Source organism: Homo sapiens, chromosome 22 (assembly GCF_000001405.40).
Source record: "Homo sapiens chromosome 22, GRCh38.p14 Primary Assembly".
Classification (NCBI taxonomy): domain Eukaryota; kingdom Metazoa; phylum Chordata; class Mammalia; order Primates; family Hominidae; genus Homo; species Homo sapiens.
The window spans coordinates 29,422,204-29,442,788 of NC_000022.11; the positions used below are offsets into that span (position 1 = coordinate 29,422,204).

The 20,585-nt window shown below is 43.3% G+C and overlaps 1 protein-coding gene, 1 long non-coding RNA gene and 1 pseudogene across 3 annotated transcripts in view; 2 read left to right on the plus strand and 1 right to left on the minus strand.

Annotated features, from left to right (window-relative positions):
* The window catches only part of RFPL1 (ret finger protein like 1), a 54,547-nt gene extending 34,295 nt beyond the window's left edge, over nucleotides 1–20,252 (plus strand). The window contains exons 8-10 of one of the 2 annotated variants that reach the window (NM_001393612.1): nucleotides 12,235–12,404; nucleotides 16,671–16,961; nucleotides 19,339–20,252. In NM_001393612.1, coding sequence (NP_001380541.1) covers nucleotides 16,676–16,961; nucleotides 19,339–19,919 — 867 coding nt within the window. In that variant the 5' untranslated portion in view covers nucleotides 12,235–12,404; nucleotides 16,671–16,675 and the 3' untranslated portion in view covers nucleotides 19,920–20,252. Of the gene's footprint in view, nucleotides 1–12,234; nucleotides 12,405–16,379; nucleotides 16,962–19,338 lie in introns of those variants that run through there. The other variant, NM_021026.2, reaches the window with a different exon arrangement.
* On the plus strand, nucleotides 11,138–12,753 carry RFPL4AP6 (ret finger protein like 4A pseudogene 6; annotated as a pseudogene).
* Nucleotides 14,812–19,926, minus strand: RFPL1S (RFPL1 antisense RNA 1). Its single transcript, NR_002727.2, has one exon. It is a non-coding gene; the product is annotated as an RFPL1 antisense RNA 1 (long non-coding RNA).
* Nucleotides 20,253–20,585: the final 333 nt, after the last annotated feature.

The following is a 20,585-nucleotide window of genomic DNA, read 5'->3' on the forward strand; positions in this document are numbered from 1 at the left end:
CAATCCAAGGTGGGTGGATCACTTGAGGTCAGGAGTTTGAGACCAGCCTGGCCAACATGGTGAAACCCCATCTCTACTAAAAATACAAAAAACTGCCAGGTGCAGTGGCTCACACCTGTAATCCTAGCACTTTGGGAGGCTGAGGCTGGTGGATCACCTGAGGTTGGGAGTTTGAGACCAGCCTGACAAGTATGGAGAAACGCCATCTCTACCAAAAATACAAAATTAGCCAGGCATGGTGGTGCATGCCTGTAATCCCATGACTTGGGAGGCTGAGGCAGAAGAATCGCTCGAACCCAGGAGGCAGAGGTTGCAGTGAGCCAATATTGGTGCCATTGTACTCGTGCCTGGGCAACAAGAGCAAAACTCAGTCTCAAATAAATAAATAAATTAGCTGGGCATAGTGGCGGGCACATGTAATCCCAGCTATTCCAGAAACTGAGGCAGGAGAATCACTTGAACCTGGGAGGCAGAGGTTGCAGTGAGCCAAGATCGCGCCACTGCACTCCAGCTTGGGCGACAAGAGTGAAACTCCATCTCAAAAAAAAGAAAAACATGTGCCGTTGGATAAGGACACACAGGTACATGGACGGAAACACACACATACACACACACACACACACTCTCTCTCTGCTGTGGGGATGCTGATAGGATTGTGTGTCTTCTTTCCCCTGGAAACAAAAACATAATTATTTTAGCACTTGGAGCTAATGTTCTTCCCTTTCTGAGCTCTAAAAGGAGTGGTCAATTTCTTATATCATCAACAGTTCAATTTTCTAGATCTACCACAAGCTCTAGGTCATTCCTGCCACATGTTTCCAGGCCTTCATTCCCACCCCTACTCCCTACCGCCATAGGAGGAAAACAGAAGGGACAGGAAGAGAAAGCGTAGGACAAGGCCCATTATTAAACAAGTAATACCTTTCTTGGTCGTGGTGAAATATTTTGAGTCAGTCATTTTGGTCCCTTATCTGTAGCCAGGCTTCTGCAAGAGAGAGAAGAGAGGGGTGACTTTCAGTTATGCTCCATCCCATCTTCAGTTATGGTGCAGAGGGAGGAGGAGAAGGATCCAGAACACATGTGGTACAGGAAAACAGCTGCTTATCTATTTCCTGGAGAAACAAACTTTAGATCATGGCAGATTAGATTTTGAAAAGTAATTCTGAGGAATCTATCAACTTTTTTTTTTTTCTTCAGAGATGGGATCTCACCATGTTGCCCAGGCTGGTCTCAAACTCCTGGGCTCAGCCAATCCTCCTGCCTCGGCCTCCCAAAGTGCTGGGATTACAGGTGTGAGCCACCACACCTGATCCCATCAAATTTTTGAATGTGCCTCTTCTAGAAATCTTTCCCACAAAAATATCTGCACAAGGATGGACGGGCTTACAGCAGCCCCTTTGTGGGACCCACTTTGCTCAGCACTGTCCTAAATGCTTGGCACACATTAACTCATTAGAAGCCTCATCACAGCATCATCAAGGCACGATGTTACCCTATACAGTCAAATGAGATTAGAAAATACCAAGCTTAAAAGGCTAGGGAGACTTCTCCCCATGACTTCTCTAAGCTGCTAAAACAGTAACATGTATGATTCATCTGTGGAAAGGGCTAGAATCTATAGCAGTTCCCAAATCTACCTGGCCAAATTTCTTACAGGCTCTCTCAGGACATCTCCTAGAGCAAAGCTCACGGTGTAAAGTACTATTGTAAGACAATAAGGGCCAGGTGCTATAGCTCATGCCTGTAATCCCAGCCAAGGCACGTGGATCACCTGAGGTCAGGAGATCGAGACCAGATGAAACCCATCTCTACTAAAAATACAAAAAATTAGCTGGGCGTGGTGGTGCGTGCCTGTAATCCCAGTTACTCAGGAGGCTGAGGCGGAAAAATCACTGGAACCCGGGAGACGGAGGCTGCAGTGAGCCAAGATAGCACCACTGCACTTCAGCCTGGGAGACAGAATCCTGCTTTGTCTCAGAAAAAAAAAAGACCATAGGACAAAGAAAGTAGTGAAGCTCCGCCATTCATTCAACAAAAATTTACTGAGCATCTACTGTGTACCTCAATAGTTCTTCTGGGCAACAGATGAAAGAAAAGAAGTTACACAGGAACAAAGATACCCTGGATACATGGCCAAGGCTTCTAGGATGGTTCTAAGATTTATTAAGAATCTATCATTTACCGAGCCCCTATTAAAGGCAGGAGCTTCACCCACATTACCTCATTTAATCTTGTCAATAATATAACTGCTTTGAATCCCATTTTACAGAAAATGAGAAAAGGACTCAGGGATGTTGCATAATTTGCCCAAGGTCAAATGGCTTGTAAGTGGCTGGGCTGGGAGACCATCTCAGGTCTACCTGAGCTTAGTTCCTATGCTCTATCGATGAAGGAATTCTGCTTCCCGCTTCTGAAAAGGAGGACAATTCCTTGACAGTGGCTAAGGACAAAGTAAAAAAAAAAAAAAAAAAAAAAATTGAGGCTGGACGCAGTGGTGCACACCTGTAGTCCCATCTACTCGGGAGGCTGAATCACTTGAACCCAGGAGGCGGAGGTTGCAGTGAGCCAAGATTGAGCCACAGCACTCCAGCGTGGTGACAGAGCAAGACTCTGTCTCCCTGTCCCTCCCACCCCCCCCCCCGCAAAATTGAGACTTTCAAGTACAGCCTTCCAATCCTATCTGTAGTTTTTATATGTTATAGAAAACCACACAACTCCAGGCCAGGCGCGGTGGCTCACGCCTGTAATCCCAGCACTTTGGGAGGCCCAGGCGGGCGGATCACGAGGTCAGGAGATCGAGACCATCCTGGCTAACACAGTGAAACCCCGTCTCTACTAAAAATACAAAAAATTAGCCGGGCGTGGTGGCAGGCGCCTGTAGTCCCAGCTACTCGGGAGGCTGAGGCAGGAGAATGGCGTGGACCCGGGAGGTGGAGCTTGCAGTGAGCCGAGATTGCGCCACTGCACTCTAGCCTGGGCGACGGAGCGAGACTCCGTCTCAAAAAAAAAAAAAAAAAAGAAAACCACACAACTCCAAAAAATAAAATAGGCATTTGAATGGAGAACACCCACTTCACTTTGTCCCTTTTTTTGCATCTGTGGAAGTCACGCTGAACCTTGGTAAACCTTTCTGTTTAAGAAACGCCTTTGCAGGGAACACAGAAGCAGAGAGAAGCACTCAGTTCCAGCTTGGGGAGGCCGTGGGCTGCATCTTGACCATGGAAAGGTCCTGGGACCAACCCTTAGCTCCTCAGTTTCTGCCTTGCAAGGAAATTAAAAACCTATTAGGAAGATACCTGCAGATGGAGCAGGCCTAAAAACACAGCCACCGGTCAGAATTTCAAACCATATTGAATTCTCATAGAAATGAAATGCAAAAGCACAAAATGACAACAGCTCAAACTAGTGAAAAAAAATGCAGGACATTTGTGAAGCATTTGATGGGAAACATTCTTTTTTAATAGGAAATAATTATTGATATGGCTGGGTGTGGTGGCTCACGCCTGTAATCTCAGCACTTTGGGAGGCCGCGGTGGGTGGATCACCTGAGATGGTGGCAGGTGCCTGTAATCCCAGCTACTTGGGAGGCTGAGGCAGGAGAATTGCTTGAATCTGGGAGGTGAGGGTTGAGGTGATCTGAGATCATGCCACTGCACCCCATCCTGGGCCACAGAGCAAGACTTCATGTCAAAAAAAGAAAATTATTGATAATTTTTATTTAGGTTTGTTATGATGTATTTTTTGTCCATATTTTTAGAGACACGAATGGAATATATGGACTAATAGATAGGATATCTGCAATTTGTTTCAGACAACTGTGTAAAAGAAGTTATTTGAGGCCGGGTGCGGTGGCTTATGTCTGTAATCCCAGTACCTTGGGAGGCCAAGGCGGGCGGATCGCCTGAGGTCAGGAGTTTGAGAGCAGCCTGGCTAACATGGCCAAACCCCTTCTCCACTAAAAATACAAAAATTAGCCAGACGTGGTGGCAAGTGCCTGTAATCCCAGCTATTTGGGAGGCTGAGGCAGGAGAATCGCTTGAATCCGGGAGATGAGGGTTACGGAGATCTGAGATCATGCCACTGCACTCTAGCCTGGGCGACAGAGCAAAACTTCATGTCAAAAAAAAAAATTATTGATAATCTTTATTTAGGTTTGTAATGATGTATTTTTTGTCCATATTTTTAGAGACACGAATGGAATATATAGACTAATAGATATGATATCTGCAATTTGTTTCAGACAACCGTATAAAAGAAGTTATTTGAGGCTGGGTGCAGTGGCTCACACCTGTAATCTCAGTACTTTGGGAGGCCGAGGTGGGAGGATCGCCTGAGGTCAGGAGTTGAAGACCAGCCTGACCAATATGGTGAAACACTCTCTCTCCTAAAAATAGAAGAATTAGCTGGGCATGATGGGTGCCTGTAATCCCAACTACTCAGGAGGCTAAGGCAGGAGAATTGCTTCAACCCGGAGGCGGAGATTGCGGTGAGCAGAGATCGTGCCATTGCACTCCGGCCAGGGTGATAGAGCAGACTCTGTATCAAAAAAAAAAAAGTTATTTGATTGTGGGTGGGTCAACATTAGCTGTATTATCCTCCTGTTTCCTTATTTTTGTCCTGTCAGTTTTCTGTAATATCTTACAAGGCAGTAAAGAGAGGGCTTAGTCTTGGGACAGCACCCAGGGGGACATCGAGAGAGGAGTCTGGCGTTCTACCCAGCAGGGCCATTGAGAAGGTGGAGACGAACGTGGTTCTCTTTGCTGCAGAGGCTCAGCCTTTACATCCATGAAATGGGGCCAGAAAGAGTGGTGAGAATCAGGACCCTTAAGTTTCCTTCCAACTTGTAAGTTGTGATTTGGGGTTGGGGTGGCTGTGATTAAGTTCCAAAAGAACACATTTATCTGCCGCAAGGTGGCTCTGTCCAGGCCTGGCCTGGCCACCCAGCAGCTCTGGTGAAGGCACCTGTGCTGGAAACACTGAGGGGGGGCCTGACAGTGCCCAGGACTGATGAGGAGGGCTGGGAAGTGCATCTCCCAAAGCCACCTCACCTGCTGACAGGTACCCTGGGATGAATGTGTCTCTGACCTCAGGCTGTAGGGGCACAAGGTGGGGGCTGAGCCACATGAGTGAGGGAGAAAGTAGGGCCTGGTGAGATGGGGTCTAGGGTAGCTGAGTCCTGTGAAAGCCTGTTCCTGCCTGTAGCCCTCAAGTCACATTTACCCTGCCTTGACCTAGTGTCACCTGGCCCCGATTCCTAACTGAATAGGATTCTGACACAGCCTCCATCAGACAACCAATGGATGCCCATTCTGTGCTGGGGAAGATGCCTTTCTCATTCCAAGACTAGAGATGATTCAACAGCTTGTGATTCTCCCTTATTTGGAATCCCACTGGGCCCAATCTGTTTTCCATTGCCAATGCCCTGCTGCTAAAAGTATACCATATCAAGCATCCTCCCTAAAGACTGAGGGCCCATCGTGGAAGAGGAGGGCACATGAGATTGTAAGAGCTGGACTGGGGGTGGGGGTGAAGGGTGGAGGCCAAAGCAACTCTATCTTGGGTGCTGATATTTGCCATGTTGGCCTCTGATGAACCCCTGTTCCAGGAGGCCTCTAAGAGTTCCAGTTTACCTGTTGTTCTGTGTAAGAGCAGGTACTTGCCATGAATCCTGCCCTTTGGTCAAACAACCTTGATGTTACTCTACTTCAATTATCCTACACATCCCTTGTAATTCACCCTTTCTATATGGTATATAAGCCCTAGAGGGTCTGGGGGATAATGGTGCAGGGATTCACTATCTTCTCTTACCACAACCGGAGACATAGACAGGGCTTCTGTTCATAAGTCCCTATTAAATGTTTCTAAGAAAGTGGATTTGTCAGCTTTCTTCAGCCTCTCAGCCTCCTGGGACTTTTAGGGATACGTTTTCACAGCCCTGTCCCCTAAGAAACAGGGATTCATTGCTAATGTTGAAAAACGAAAGGTTCACCAAAAGCATGCAGGAGTAGCTACACTTGTGTCAGACAAAATAGACATTAAGTCAAAAAACATAAAAAGAGACATAGCAGGTCATTATATAATGATGAAGAGATCAAAGCAGCAAGAGGATATAACAATTATAAATATATATGCACCTAACTCAGGAGCACCAGATATAGAAAGTAAATATTATTAGAGCTAATGAGACTCTAATACAATAATAATTAGGGAGTTCAACACCCCAGTTTTAGAAATGCCTAGATCATCTAGGTAAAATAAAATAAAGTAATGTAAAATAAGTCAGATTGAAGCTGCATTATAGGCTAAGTAGAGCTAACAGATGAACAGTTGCAGAATCTACATTCTTCTCCTCAGCACATGGGATCCTCTCCAGGATGGACCACATGTTAGGTCACAAAGCAAGTCTCAAAAATATTTAAAAATTGAAATCATATTAAGTAATCTTCTCAGACCACAATGAAATATAACAAAAAATCAATAACAAACAGAGTTTTGGAGCCTACAAAAAGATATAAATCAAGTCACATGCTACTGAACCATTGGGTCAATGAAGAAATGAAGATGGAAATTGAAAAATGTCTTGAAACAGATGAAAATGAAAACATAATATACCAAAATCTATGGTGTATAATAAAAGCAGTACTGACAGGGAAGTTAATAGCAATAAATGCTGACAGCAAAAAAGTAGAATGCTTTCAAATAAACAAGCTAACAATGTACCTCATAGAACTTGAAAAGCAAGAACAAACCAAACCCAAAATGAGAAGAAAAGAGATAATAAAAGATCAGAGCAGAACTAAACAAAATAGAGACTTAAAAAACTCACAGTGAAAGGAAAAGTTGGGTTTTTTGTCTTTCATTTTTTTGTTTTAGATAGGGTCTCGCTCTGTCACCCAGTCTGGAGTGCAGTGGCATGATCATGGCTCACTGCAGCCTTGGACTCCAGGCTCAAGCAATCCTCCCACCCCAGCCTCTAAAGTAGCTGAGACTATAGGTGCACACCATCATGCCCTGTGAATTTTTCTATTTTTTGTAGAGACGAGGGTCTTACTATGTTGCCCGGGCTGGTCCTGTACTCCTGCTGCAAGCAATCCTCCTACCTCAGCCTCCCAAGTGCTGAGATTACAGGCATGAGCCACTGTTCTCAGCCAAGAAGTTGATTTTTTGAAAAGATTAACAAAATTGACAAACTGTGAGCTAGGCTAACTAAGAAAAAAGAAGAAGAAGAAGAAGACCCAAATAAATTAAGAAATCAGAAATGAAAAAGGAGACATTACAACTGGAAATCCAGAAATACAAAGGATCATTAGAAACTATTATGAGTGACTATATTTTAATACTGACAAATTGGGAAGACTAGAGGAAATGCACAGATTCCTGGGCACATATAACCTACCAAGATTGAATCAGAAAGAAACAAAAAACCTGAACAGACCAATCTCAAATAATAAGATTGAAGGCTCTCAAATTGGAAAAGAAGTCTTACTGGCCTTACTTGTAAATGATATGATCTTATATTTAGAAAAACCTAAAGACCGCACCAAAAAACTGTTAGAAATGACAAACTTAGTAAAGTTTTAGGATATAAAATCAACACATAAAAATCAGTAGCAACTGTATATGCCAACAGAGAACAACCTGAAAATGGTGAAATCCCACTCTTTGCCTGTTCCCACATTTATTCCCAGTATGGTAGCCAGAGGTCACCCAAGGAGAGCTCAGGGTGCAAATTGACTTGGTGAATCTCTCCGGTCTCTCTTTTATTTCTATTTTGAATGCCCACTTTGGACATTCCTGAGGTTATCAGAAACAATGTTTCCAGCACGTTGGATGTATCAGTATACTATAGAAATATGATGTGACTCGTCTATGTAATTACATGTTTTCTAGTAGCCACGTTGAAGAAAGTGAAAAAAAATCAAGTCACAATTATTTTAATTGGCAAAATGTTTTGCCATTTAAACATGGGTTTACATGATGCAGTTTTCAAAGATGATTTTTGGGGGGCAGTGGGGTGGTCTCAGTATGATACCCAGGCTGGGCATGAACTCCACAGCTCAAGCAATCACCCCATCTCAGCCTCTCAAGTAGTTGGGACTGCAGGTGCCTGACACTCAAATATCTTAATGAGATAATTTAATTCTTTTTCAGCCTTTCAAATCCAGTGTGCATTTAAACAAATGTATCCATACATTTGTTTATAAATGTATATATACGCATTTAAATATGTATACTTTTATATTTATATATATTGTGATGTAATGGAAACAGTAAAATTATCAAAGTTTTTAAAAATCTTAGTATTAATACTGTAACTAACAAAACAACAACAAAAACAGGATCTTGTAAGGCTCTGCTTGATTGTATGTGAACAGTTTTAGGGTTTCTTTTAAACCAAACTTCTAAATGTGCATTTTCACGATCTTGGAGAAAAAGTCCCTTTAAATAAATGGTCACATGAGTGTGATTTTAGAAAAAACATCTTAGTAAGTTTGATAGATTTCTTTGATCAAAACATGAGGAGATATTATTCTCATGAGAAAACTACTTGAAACTAGCCCTATTCATAGATTAATCTTAATGCCAGATATTTCATTGTAACAGTTTCAGCCCTAATCCTGAATCTTTTTATTTTTCCTAAGCAGATAGCTACAGAAATCCCAAATCTTATCAACACCCATAATATACATGGCCTAATTTAGAATGAGATGGCAATATTAGTCTGTATCAATTTTAAAAACCCTTAAGTTAAAATAATCTTTACTTGGGGTAACCAGTTTACAACCTCAGTTAAAATTACGGCATGATTAAATCAAAATCTGATTGGGTTAAGGAAGATAAGCAGGATGTAAATGAGAGGGGAGGAGAGGCTCTTGTAATAAAAACCCCTTGTAAGTGGAGCTCACTCAAAACTGAGCTGTCGGTGGAAGCTACTGGAGGCCAGGGGAGAACCTAATGGAGGAGACACACATCCAGGCTTATGTAGTTTTTCTCGACTTACTAGATTCCTACCAAGGGCAGGTATTAGAGAGCAAGGGCTGCAGGATGGAGTCACTATGAATTCGGCAACATTGTTTGAGGGCAGCTCAATGCCAGGCACAGTGTGTGCACTTAGAGAGACCCTGGGTCACCTTCTAAAAGCAGACAGCAGAACTTAAATTTTCAGTACCCAGTCTGGAGAAATGACAGTCTTCATTTTCCTTAATCATAGTGTGGCCAACTCGATGAGATGATGATGGAGTTTCTCTCTTTGACCTATTCAACCTTTCAGCTACTTAGGAGGGGCTTTTGCCACAGCCAGATTAGAACGATTTTGCAGGGGATAGGGGTGTTGGAGGGTCTCTGAGTCTAGTACATAGCTGTCCAGTAGAAATATAATGTAATCCACATATGCAATGATAAGTTTTCTAGTAGCCACATTAAATTACAAAATGTAAATTTTAATACAAAAAAGTTATTTCAGCGTGTAATCAATCTTTAAAAGTTCTTTTTTTTTTTTTGAGATAGAGTCTCACTGTGTTGCCCAGGCTGGAGTGCAGTGGTGCGATCTCAGCTCTCTGCAACCTCCATCTCCCGGAGACGATTCAAGTGATTCTCCTGCCTCAGCCTCCTGAGTAGCTGGGATTACAGATGTGCGCCACCAAGCCCAGCTAATTTTTTTTGTATTTTTAGTAGAGATGGGGTTTCACCATGTTGGTCAGGCTGGTCTTGAACTCCTGACCTCGTGATCTACCCACCTCGGCCTCCCAAAGTGCTGGGATTACAGGCATGAACCACCACACCTGGCCAAAGTTCTTAATAAGATAACTTACATTCTCTTTTTCTCATACCTCTTCAAAATCCAGTGCGCATTTTACACTGAAGGTGTGATACGCTAACTTACATTAACTTGATTGACTCTCTCTTAGCTAAGAAAGCTGGATGGATTCCATTCGGCTCCTTCATTTGCAAGACATTAAGGGCTCCTTACCCACTCCCTCCCTCAAGGACTTAACTTGTGCAAGCTGACTCTCAGCGCGTCAAAGAGTGCAATTAACTGATAAGATACTGTGGCAAACTATGTCCACAGTTCCCAGGAATTTGCTCAGGTGACAGTACTCTAAAGCCCCCTGCATTTGTGTCTGGAGCCCCCCTCCTATCACCCTGTGATGAATTTAAAGCCCCTGCACCTGGAACTGTTTGTTTTCCTGTAACCATTTGTCTTTTCAACTTTTTTGCCTGTTTTACTTCTGTAAGATTGCTTCAGCTCAATTCCCCCTCCCCTTTCTAAACCAAAGTATAAAAGAAAATCTAGCCCCTTCTTCAGGGCCGAGAGAATTCCGAGCGTTAGCGTCTCTCGGTCGCCGGCTAATAAAGGACTCCTGAATTAGTCTCAAAGTGTGGCGTTTCTCTATAACTCGCTTGGTTACAACAAAGGCACATCCCAATTCCAATAAGCCCCATTTGGGGTGCTCAAGAACCACATGTGGCTGGACCGCTGGGCCTAGACCCTTCACAACACCAGCTTCTCAACTGAAGAATCATGTCCTTCATTCCAACTAGCATTTCCGATATTAGAAGTTCAAGGCCATGACTCTTCTTATATGTATTTTATAGTGTTTTTATCACCTATCACTAGTGATTGTTTATAGCAGGCACTGATATGTCTCTATGCATGTAAAAGTGAAAGAGCCTAAAGGAGTATTGTCATTCAGTTAATTGAACTCCAATATCATGTACCGTTTCTGCAGACATTGGCCATGGCAGAACATTTTAAAGAAGCAAGTCGATGTGTCGGCTGCCTATCTTATCCTGAAAAACCCACTTACTAGCCAGGCACATTGGCTCACGCCTGTAATCCCAGCACTTTGGGAGTCTGAGGTGGGTGGATCTCGAGGTCAGGAGTTAAAGACCAGCATGGCCAAGATGGTGAAACCCCGTCTCTTCTAAAAATACAAAAATTAGCCGGGTGCTGTGGCAGTGCCTGTAATCCCAGCTACTCATGAGGCTGAGGCAGGAGAATCACTTGAACCCAGGGGCAAAGGCTGCAGTGAGCCAAGATGGCACCACAGCACTCCAGCCTGGGCAGCAGAGCAAGACTCCGTCTCAAAAAAAAAAAAAAGGAAAAGAAAAAAGAAAATAATAAAAACCCACATACCTAGAGTGTGGATATCTCTGCTGCTTCCGCTGTATCAGTTCATTTCCAAAGGAGCCCAATGGGGATGATGTATTGTGCGCCATCTGCTCTGTGGTCACTATAAAAGACATCACGCCCCATCTCCTGCTGGGAAAACTGGTTTCCAAAATCAAGGAAGTGGAGCCCCAGCTGAGAAGAATTCTATATTAAAACCCAAGGATGCGGAAGTTTCAAGGTCAGAAATCTGTATAACCTGCGCTCGGCCCACCAACAGCCTTGGAAAAAGCAACTGTTCAAAAGGCTCTCCATTAAATAGGGGCATTAGCTGAATTCTGGCACCTAAAATGTGTATGCCCACCCAACAACAGTTCTCAGCTGTGAGTATAGATTAGAGACAACAGAAGATTTTGAAGAAAATATAACATTTAAGTCATACCCTAGACCTGTGCTGCCCAATATGGTAGCCACCAGTGGCTATGGGGCCCTTGAAACATGGGTGTACCCCATGTGGAAGTGACAATAATTCTGGATATACAAGCTTATAATATGTTATTTAAAGTATTGTTGAATTTTTTTTAATGTCTACAGAAAAATTTAAAATTACCTGGAGATCTTTTATAAAATGCAAATTCTCCTTCTATTGGACTAGGCTGGTTGAGAATCTGGATTTCTGACACACACTCACACACACACACACACACATACACACAAATTTTTTTGAGATGTGGTTTCATGTTGCCCAGATTGGTCTCAAATTCCTCAGCTCAAGCGATCCTCCCACCTCAATCTCCCAAATTGCTGGTATTACTGACATAAGCCGCCGTACACAGCCTGATCTAATAGTATAATAAATAGTTTTTCCATCATCTAGATATTCATTAGATATCTATATTTGAACAGAGTCTGCTAAATTTTATGATTTTGAGAGTAAACAACAGACATGGTTTCTGCCTTCATGGATCTCAAGAAATCTTGAATAATCAAAATGTAAAAAGAATGCTTACTATGAACAAGAGGGATTTGTTACAATTCTATTTCAATCTTCTCTAAGAAATTCTACGGAATCAGGGAATGCAGGGAAGTTTCTATTTGCTGATTTACCTTTTTTCTTTCCACAGTGGATATGACGTCAGATATTGACACAGCCAACAATCGACTCATCATTTCTGAAGACCTGTGGAGTGTCCATTGTGGATTTCTTAGAACCGCACAGAGTATGCCGAGATTCAAACAAGTCATCTGTGTCCTGGGCTCCCCTCGCTTCACCTCTGGACACCATTACTGGGAGGTAGACATGGGGACAGGCAAATAATGGGATTTGGGTGCCTGCAAAGAATCTGTTAATCGACAAGAGAATTGTGTGGTCTTCAGAACTTGGCTTCTGGACTGTGGGTATGAGGAAAGAAAAGCTCTTTGCAGCCAGCACTGTGCCTTTAACCACCCTCTGGGTGAGTCCGGGGCTATGCAGGGTAGGCATTTTCCTGGATATGGGTATGACAATGATTTCCTTTTATAACATTAATGATGGGACTCATATCTTTACATTCACTAAGATTTCTGCTGCAGAGCCACTGTGCCCATTTTATGCTCTTGCAGATTCAATTATCGATGACCAAGGCTTCCTATCTGTCCTGTGATTAATCTTGGCATTGACAAATCTACAGTTTCTCCTGAGCAGGGCAAATAAACTTTTAGCCACAAAACCATTTAGACAATCACTTTATGCTCAATGCAAGAAACTTTTCTGCTTGCCACAAGATAATGGAACAAAGTTACAGCAGAAAAATATGGAACATCTCAAACCATGAATGTCAATTAAGTAGATTAATAAGAAATTGCCTTTTAAATACTAAAAAGTATTGTTACAGTTGTCCTTTGGGTTTTATGGGCCGTGGCTCCGTGTCCCTCCCACACCTGTCCGAGTGGCTTTTGCTGGCTCTCTGTGCCCTGGCTGCCTCACCCTGCACCGTGCTGCTGTCTCATTGACATCACATCTCTTCTGCAAATCTATCTTGTTGTCTGTTCCTTCTTCCCTGGAGCATCTGAAAGGATCATCTTGTGAATTTGACTCATTTCCTAAGTCATTCTCACACTCTTTACGTTGTATCCAGCCTGGTTTTGGCAGAAAGTTTTTCTCACATACAGGATACACCAGGGCTGGACTCTGTCTTTACATGTGGTTGTGGAGTGACCCAGAATCCAGCAGAGAGCAAACCCCAAATGATTGCTTTATGACCGGATCCAATTCATTCCAATCATGTAAAGTTAACTTGGCTCCCTACACACTGTCTCCCAAGCTTTGTTTTCTTGCTCAGACACTGAATCCCAAGGAGTGATCTCATCCCATTGTACATAATTTTTTAATAGAACTAAATGTAGGTCTTTCAAAAATATATATACAAAGAAAAAAATCTTTATTTAATATGTGATACATTTTAGGAGCGGGAAATAGATTATATTCAAGTTATTTGAAATTTGAAAACAAAGCTGTTATTTTATGAATTAAGTACAAGTTAATCACTAACTTGTCCATTTCCATGATACATGCAGATTCATCAGTTTTCTGGTCAAGACCTGAGTCTCAGCCTGGAGGACATTATGTTAAGCAAAATAAATCAGGTCTGGAAAGATAAATACCACATGTTCTCACTCCTATATGGGAGCTAAATGAAAAATGCTGAGCTCACAGAAGCAGAGCATAGAATTGTGGGTATAGAGGCTGGGAGGGTAAGGGGCAGGGGAGCTTGGGGAGAGGTTGGTTATTGGATACAGAATTATACCTAGATGGGAGAAATGGGCTTTAGTGGAGGCTGGGAAGGGTAAGGGGGAGGGGAGCTTGGGGAGAGGTCGGTAATTGGATATAAAATTACAGCTAGATGGGAGAAATGGGCTCTAGCACAACTGTGGGGTAAATATGGTCACTTGTACATGATTGCATATTTTCAAAAAGCTAAGAGGATTAGGAAGGCTCCCATCACAAAGAAATAATAAATACAGGCGGTGGCTCACGCCTGTAATCCCAGCACTTTGGGAGGCCGAGGCAGGCGGGTTACCTGAGGTCAGGAGTTAGAGACTAGCCTGGCCAGAATGGTGAAATGCTGTCTCTACTAAAAATACAAAAAAAAAAAAAATTAGCCAGGCATGGTGGCACATGCCTGTAATCCCAGCTGCTCAGGAGGCTGAGGCAGGAGAATTGCTTGAGCCCAGGAGCCGGATGTTGCAGTGATCCAAGTTTGTGCCACTGCACTCCAGCCTGGCTGACAGAGCAAGAATCTGTCTCAAAAAAAAAAAAAAAAGAAAGAAATGTTTAGAGTGTGCTAATTATCCTGACTTGATTATTACACACTTTATGCATGTATCAAAATATTACTGTGTGCCATAAATATGTACAATTATTACATGTCAACTGAAAGTAAAGAGGAAAAAAAAGTAAACCAAAACAAGACCTGAGTGTCTCAGAGTCCTCTAATCCCATGAGGAATCATATTTAAAGCCGACCAAAATTAGGTCTTTATTTTTAATTATGCAAAAAGAGAAAATTCCTTTAATATGTGCCAAAGGGAATAGGGAAAATGATAAGATTATATTCAAATTATTTGAAATTTGAAAACAAAGCAGTAAAGATCCCACTACACAGAAAGGCATGAAAATGAAAAGATTCGGGGTTGATTCAAATGGAAGAAAGCACAACTCACTTCACGGGTAACAATTTTTATTTGAGAACACAAGTTTCACAAGAAAATCATCTTTTTTTTTTAAATTGTGACTTTTATCTTAACACTGTGTGAAGTACTCAAGGTCCAAGAAGCTTAATGGTCATTTGTCAAAATAGTAATTATCCAATTTTTTCCTATGAATTATGAAATTTTTTCAAAACCAGAAATAAACCAATGAAAATAAATAAAAATTCCCTAGAATTTCCTCAATGGAATGCATGCCCCTATTACCTTTGAGTCTGATGTATATGAATTTAAACCATTTTGTAAAATTGCAAATCCAATCATACTTAATACTTCAGGTTTCCAAGCAAAGCTTGAAGCCTACAACATATTACAGGAATTATCTTTACTGACAACTGATGGAAACATCTCTAAAATAAGCTTTTGAAGTTAGTACATTAAGCCTAATTTAATATAAAGGCAATTTAATCTTATCTTCATATGAAAGAAAAATACACTGTCAGGATGAAGGATTTACTAAAGTTACAATTAACTGGAGATATATCACCAGTAAAAACCTAATTCCCTGTTATAATTAAATCAAAGCCTCATTAGGTTAGAGGGTGTGGAAGGGCATGACCCAGTGGGAGGTGGGAATCTCACCAATAAAACGCCCTCATGTGCCCCTTCCGCACAAGACCTGAGCGCCCAGTGGAAGCAGCTGGAGGACAGAGGAGCTTCCAGCAGAAGAGGTGAGCCCATGCCTGTGTGTGTGTTTTTCCTCCTTAGATGCCTAGAAATGGGGGTTATGCCTTGGGGGATGAATGAGAGAAATTCGTAATTAATGAATTCAACAAAGGCTGTCTGAGTGCTGCCTCAGAGTTGAAAACCAGTCACCCTGGATCCCCAGATCTCCAGTCTAGGAGTGGTGGCAGTCAATTTGGTATTCATTTCCAAGGCTGGAGAAGGATGTGATTTTTTTTTTTTTTTTTTTGGTGAGACAGGGTCTTAACTCTGTTGTCCAGGTTGGAGTGACCTGGTGTGATCTCTGCTCACTGCTAATTTTTCTATTATTTGTAGAGAGGGGGTCTTCCTGTGTTGCCCAGGCTGATCTCAAACTCCTTGGCTCAAGGGATCTTCCAGCCTTGGCCTCGCAAAGTGCTGGGATTACAGATGTGAGCTACTGCATCCAGTCCCTCTCTTTTTTTTTTTTTTTTTTTTTGAGATGGTGTCTCACTCTGTTGTCCAGGCCGGAGTGCAATGGCTGGATCTTGGCTCACTGCAACCTTTGCCTCCCAGGTTCAAGCAATTCTCCTGCCTCAGCCTCCCAAGTATCTGGGATTACAGGCGTGTGCCACCACGCCTGGCTAATTCTTTTGTATTTTCAGTAGAGATGGGGTTTCACCCATCAGGCTGGTCTCGAACTTTTGACGACCTCAGATGATCCACTCACGTCAGCCTCCCAAAGTGCTGGGATTATAGGCCTGAGCCACCACGCCCGGCCTCCCAGCCCCTAATTCTTATGTTCATCAATCAATCTCTTGCTGGGGTTCCCCTAGGAGGAGGTGAAATGACCCCAGCTCGCTGTTCCTCACATGGGTGCTGCCGTGTCACTGGCTCAGGCTCAGTTGCTGGGTCACCAGTAGAATGGACCCTTCCTCCACCTCAGTTCAGAGCACAGTGATGATTCGTGACTTTCTTTCCCAATAGAACTTCAAATCTCTGAAGACGGGGGGTGGGGGGATGTGCTTGAGTGTTTGTACTCATGGTCTTGTTCTAGAAGTGACAAAGCTGGGACACAATACCTTTATGCATGAAAAGGTTGTCACTTGTCACAACTAACAGGCTTTCACCTCACGGAAATTTTCTTCCCTTGTGCACTTTTCCCCTGGCAGTGGACATGGCTGCACTCTTCCAAGAAGCAAGCAGCTGTCCCGTCTGCTCAGACTATCTAGAGAAACCAATGTCCCTGGAGTGTGGATGCGCTGTCTGCTTCAAGTGCATCAATTCACTGCAGAAGGAGCCCCATGGGGAGGATCTACTTTGCTGTTGCTGTTCCATGGTCTCTCAGAAGAACAAAATCAGGCCCAGTTGGCAGCTAGAGAGGCTGGCTTCCCACATCAAGGAACTGGAGCCCAAGCTGAAGAAGATTCTGCAGATGAACCCAAGGATGCGGAAGTTCCAAGGTGAGGGATCTGTATACACTGCCCCCTTCCTACGACCAGACCAGGAAAAATCATCTGTGCAACTGGCCCCTCATTCCATATGGGGATTAGCTGCTGTCTGGCACCTAAAATTGAGATGCTTCTTCATCATCAGATTCTCAGCCCTGACAACATACAGAATCACCTGGTGATCTCCAAAAAAAAGGCTGGCTGGGCATGGTGGCTCATGCCTGTAATGTCAGCACTTTGGGAGGCCGAGGCGGGTGGATCACGAGGTCAGGAGATCGGGACCATCCTGGATAACACGGTGAAACCCTGTCTCTACTAAAAATACAAAAAATTAGCCAGGCTTGGTGGTGGGTGCCTGTAGTCCCAGCTACTTGGGGGTTGAGGCAGGAGAATGGCGTTAACCTGGGGGGGGCGGAGCTTGCAGTGAGCCAAGATTGCACCACTGCACTCCAGCCTGGGTGACAGAGTGAGACTCCGTCTCAAAAAAAAAAACCTGATGTCTATGTCATGGGTTAGACAAGGGATTCTCTAAACTTAGTGTGCTCAGATTACCTGGGGATCTTGTTAAAATGCAGATGCTGAACTGGGAAGTCTCAGGATTGATCCCGCTGGCTTGGGGACTTTGCTGAGTAGCAAAAACACAGAGCAACTTAATTTGAATTTCTCTCTAGCAAAGGTTCCCAGGACTCTGACATTTAAATGGGCCTGGTAATTCTAATGCACAGTGAGTATTGGCACCCACTGTACCAAACAACCTCACCCCAGGGTTGGGAAGAGTTTGGAATGGAGCACCTATGGTGTTTGTTTCTGTGAGTGGGGCGAGTTGCAGACGCTGGTCTCCTCATCGGTGTGCCATGGACTTCAACAGGGGTCCTGGCTACAGAAAATACTATCACTCTCCATAACTCTGGGGAATAGGGACATTTAAATGAAGAGGTTATGGTCAGCCTGGGCAAAGAATTACACCTATAAATGGTGGTGGCTTCTGCCCTGACACCCATGATCTCTACTCATCCACCTACCCATACCTGACTGTGTCTCTGCTGAAATATGGAGGACAGATTCACCCTGCCTAAGTCATGTTTGGAACCCTCTTCCTCCTTCCTTGTCCATGTCCACTCATCTCATTTCATTCCCTAATTCACCATCAAACAGCAATCAGTCTCCTCAAGTCTTACTGTAATCTATAAAATCTATATTGGTGATCATCAGTTTTTTGACTTGAAGGATCATATGTTCTGTAGATTTTTTTTTCAGAATGCTCTGGACAATTAATTTTCTTTAGGCCAGATCACACTGCCTCCTCCATGAGAATTGGCAGCTTCACCTATCAACCACATACCCAATGCATTAAATTATTGACCTTTGTATTTACTGCCCTTATTCTCTACGATCAGTCAGTTATGACGAACAACTTTCTTTTTTTTTTTATTTTTTGAGATGGAGTCTCGCTCTGCCGCCTAGGCTGGAGGTGCAGTGGCATGATCTCTGCTCATTGCAAGCTCCGCCTCCTGGGTTCATGCCATTCTCCTGCCTCAGTCTACCGAGTAGCTAGGACTACAGGCACCCGCCACCATGTCCGGCTAATTTTTTTGTATGTTTTTTAGTAGAGACAGGGTTTCACGTGTTAGCCAGGATGGTCTCGATCTCCTGACCTCGTGATCCACCCGTCTCGGCCTCCCAAAGTGCTGGGATTACAGGTGTGAGCCACCGCGCTCAGCCAACAAACAACTTTCAAATACCTTTCTCTTCACTCCAAAATTTACCATTGTTTTGCTTAAGGTTTCACCTCCCATGTAGGATGGAAAACATTCTTTCATCTAAGGCCCCCCTCTTCCTCCTGGCCTTGGAGCCTCCTAATGTCCAGGACCGGCACCTCTGTCATCACATTGTCAGCTGCAGAGATACCCTACCTGCTGTCAGAACCATGCACAATTAATTTGCTTACAAACATGGAAAACAAAGGCCTGGAATCATGCTCTATATACTGAGTTGAGCAATACAAGATGGAAGCAGAAACATATTTAACATCGACCATTTGCATTGTCTTAATTATCATTCATTTTTTCATGCATCAAGGTGGTAGAAAGGGGGTCATGGTGTCTGCCTTCAGAGACCCTCCACTCTAAATGAAGAAAAGTCCAATGAAGCAAACACGTGACATAAAGTAAAATAATTGCTACTGTGAATAAGAGTTGGGTATTGCCACAAAGCATACCTATGAGAATTTGAACTAGTCAGGGAAGTTGCCTCATGAAAAGTTTTGATTTTGGGGGAAGAAGAGAATTAAAGAAACCAAAGTCAAGAGATATTTGGGCCTTTGAAGTAGAGGAGAGGCATGGGGTTGGCTTCTGTCCATTTTCTGATCAACTTTTTTTCCTTTTCACAGTGGATATGACCTTGGATGCCGACACAGCCAACAACTTCCTCCTCATTTCTGACGACCTCAGGAGCGTCCGAAGTGGGTGCATCACACAGAATCGGCAAGACCTTGCCGAGAGATTTGACGTGTCCATTTGCATCCTGGGCTCCCCTCGCTTTACCTGTGGCCGCCACTACTGGGAGGTGGACGTGGGAACAAGCACAGAATGGGACCTGGGAGTCTGCAGAGAATCTGTTCACCGCAAAGGGAGGATCCATCTGACCACAGAGCGTGGATTCTGGACTGTGAGTTTGAGGGATGGAAGCCGCCTCTCTGCCAGCACGGTGCCGCTGACTTTCCTCTTCGTAGACCGCAAGTTACAGCGAGTGGGGATTTTTCTGGATATGGGCATGCAGAACGTTTCCTTTTTTGATGCTGAAGGTGGTTCCCATGTCTATACATTCAGGAGTGTCTCTGCTGAGGAGCCACTGCACTTGTTTTTTGCTCCTCCAAGTCCACCTAATGGTGATAAGAGTGTCTTGAGTATCTGTCCTGTGATAAACCCGGGCACTACTGATGCTCCAGTCCATCCTGGGGAGGCCAAATAAGCCCCCACTGCAAAAAAACAAAAAACAGGTTAAGAAAATTACTTGGGTGGGCAGACTTAGGAACGCTCTACTCGGTAAAAGCGTTATACAAAGTCATAGGAGAAAAATATGGGACAATTCATGATTATACTTAATCTAATTTGATTAGTTTATAAATTGAGTCCTAAGTATTAATTATTGCCACCATCCAACTCATTGAGTCTTATGGTTCACATCTTGTTTCCTATAGAAATATTCTGTATTCTGGGATCAATTTCCAAATGCTTTTTTATTTCTGTAAGTTCAAATTAATGTATTATAGAAGTTATGAGTTAAATAAACATTGGAATATCACCTAATGGATTATGTGACTTTCTTTCCTCAGCCTCCTGAGTAGCTGGGATTACAGGCAACTGCCACCACGCCTAGCTAATTTTTTGTATTTTTAGTAGAGACAGGATTTCACCATGTTGGCCAGGCTGGTCTCGAACCCTTGACCTCATGATTCACCCACCTCAGCCTCCCAAAGTGCCGGGATTACAGGCATGAGCCACTGCACCCAGCCGGATTATGTGATTTTCTAAATGATAGGAGTACGATAGATTTTATTCATAGTAAATGCGTGAGCGTGTGTATGTGTGTGCGTGTGTGTGTGTGTATTTGGACAGAGAGCTGGATAAATGCCTA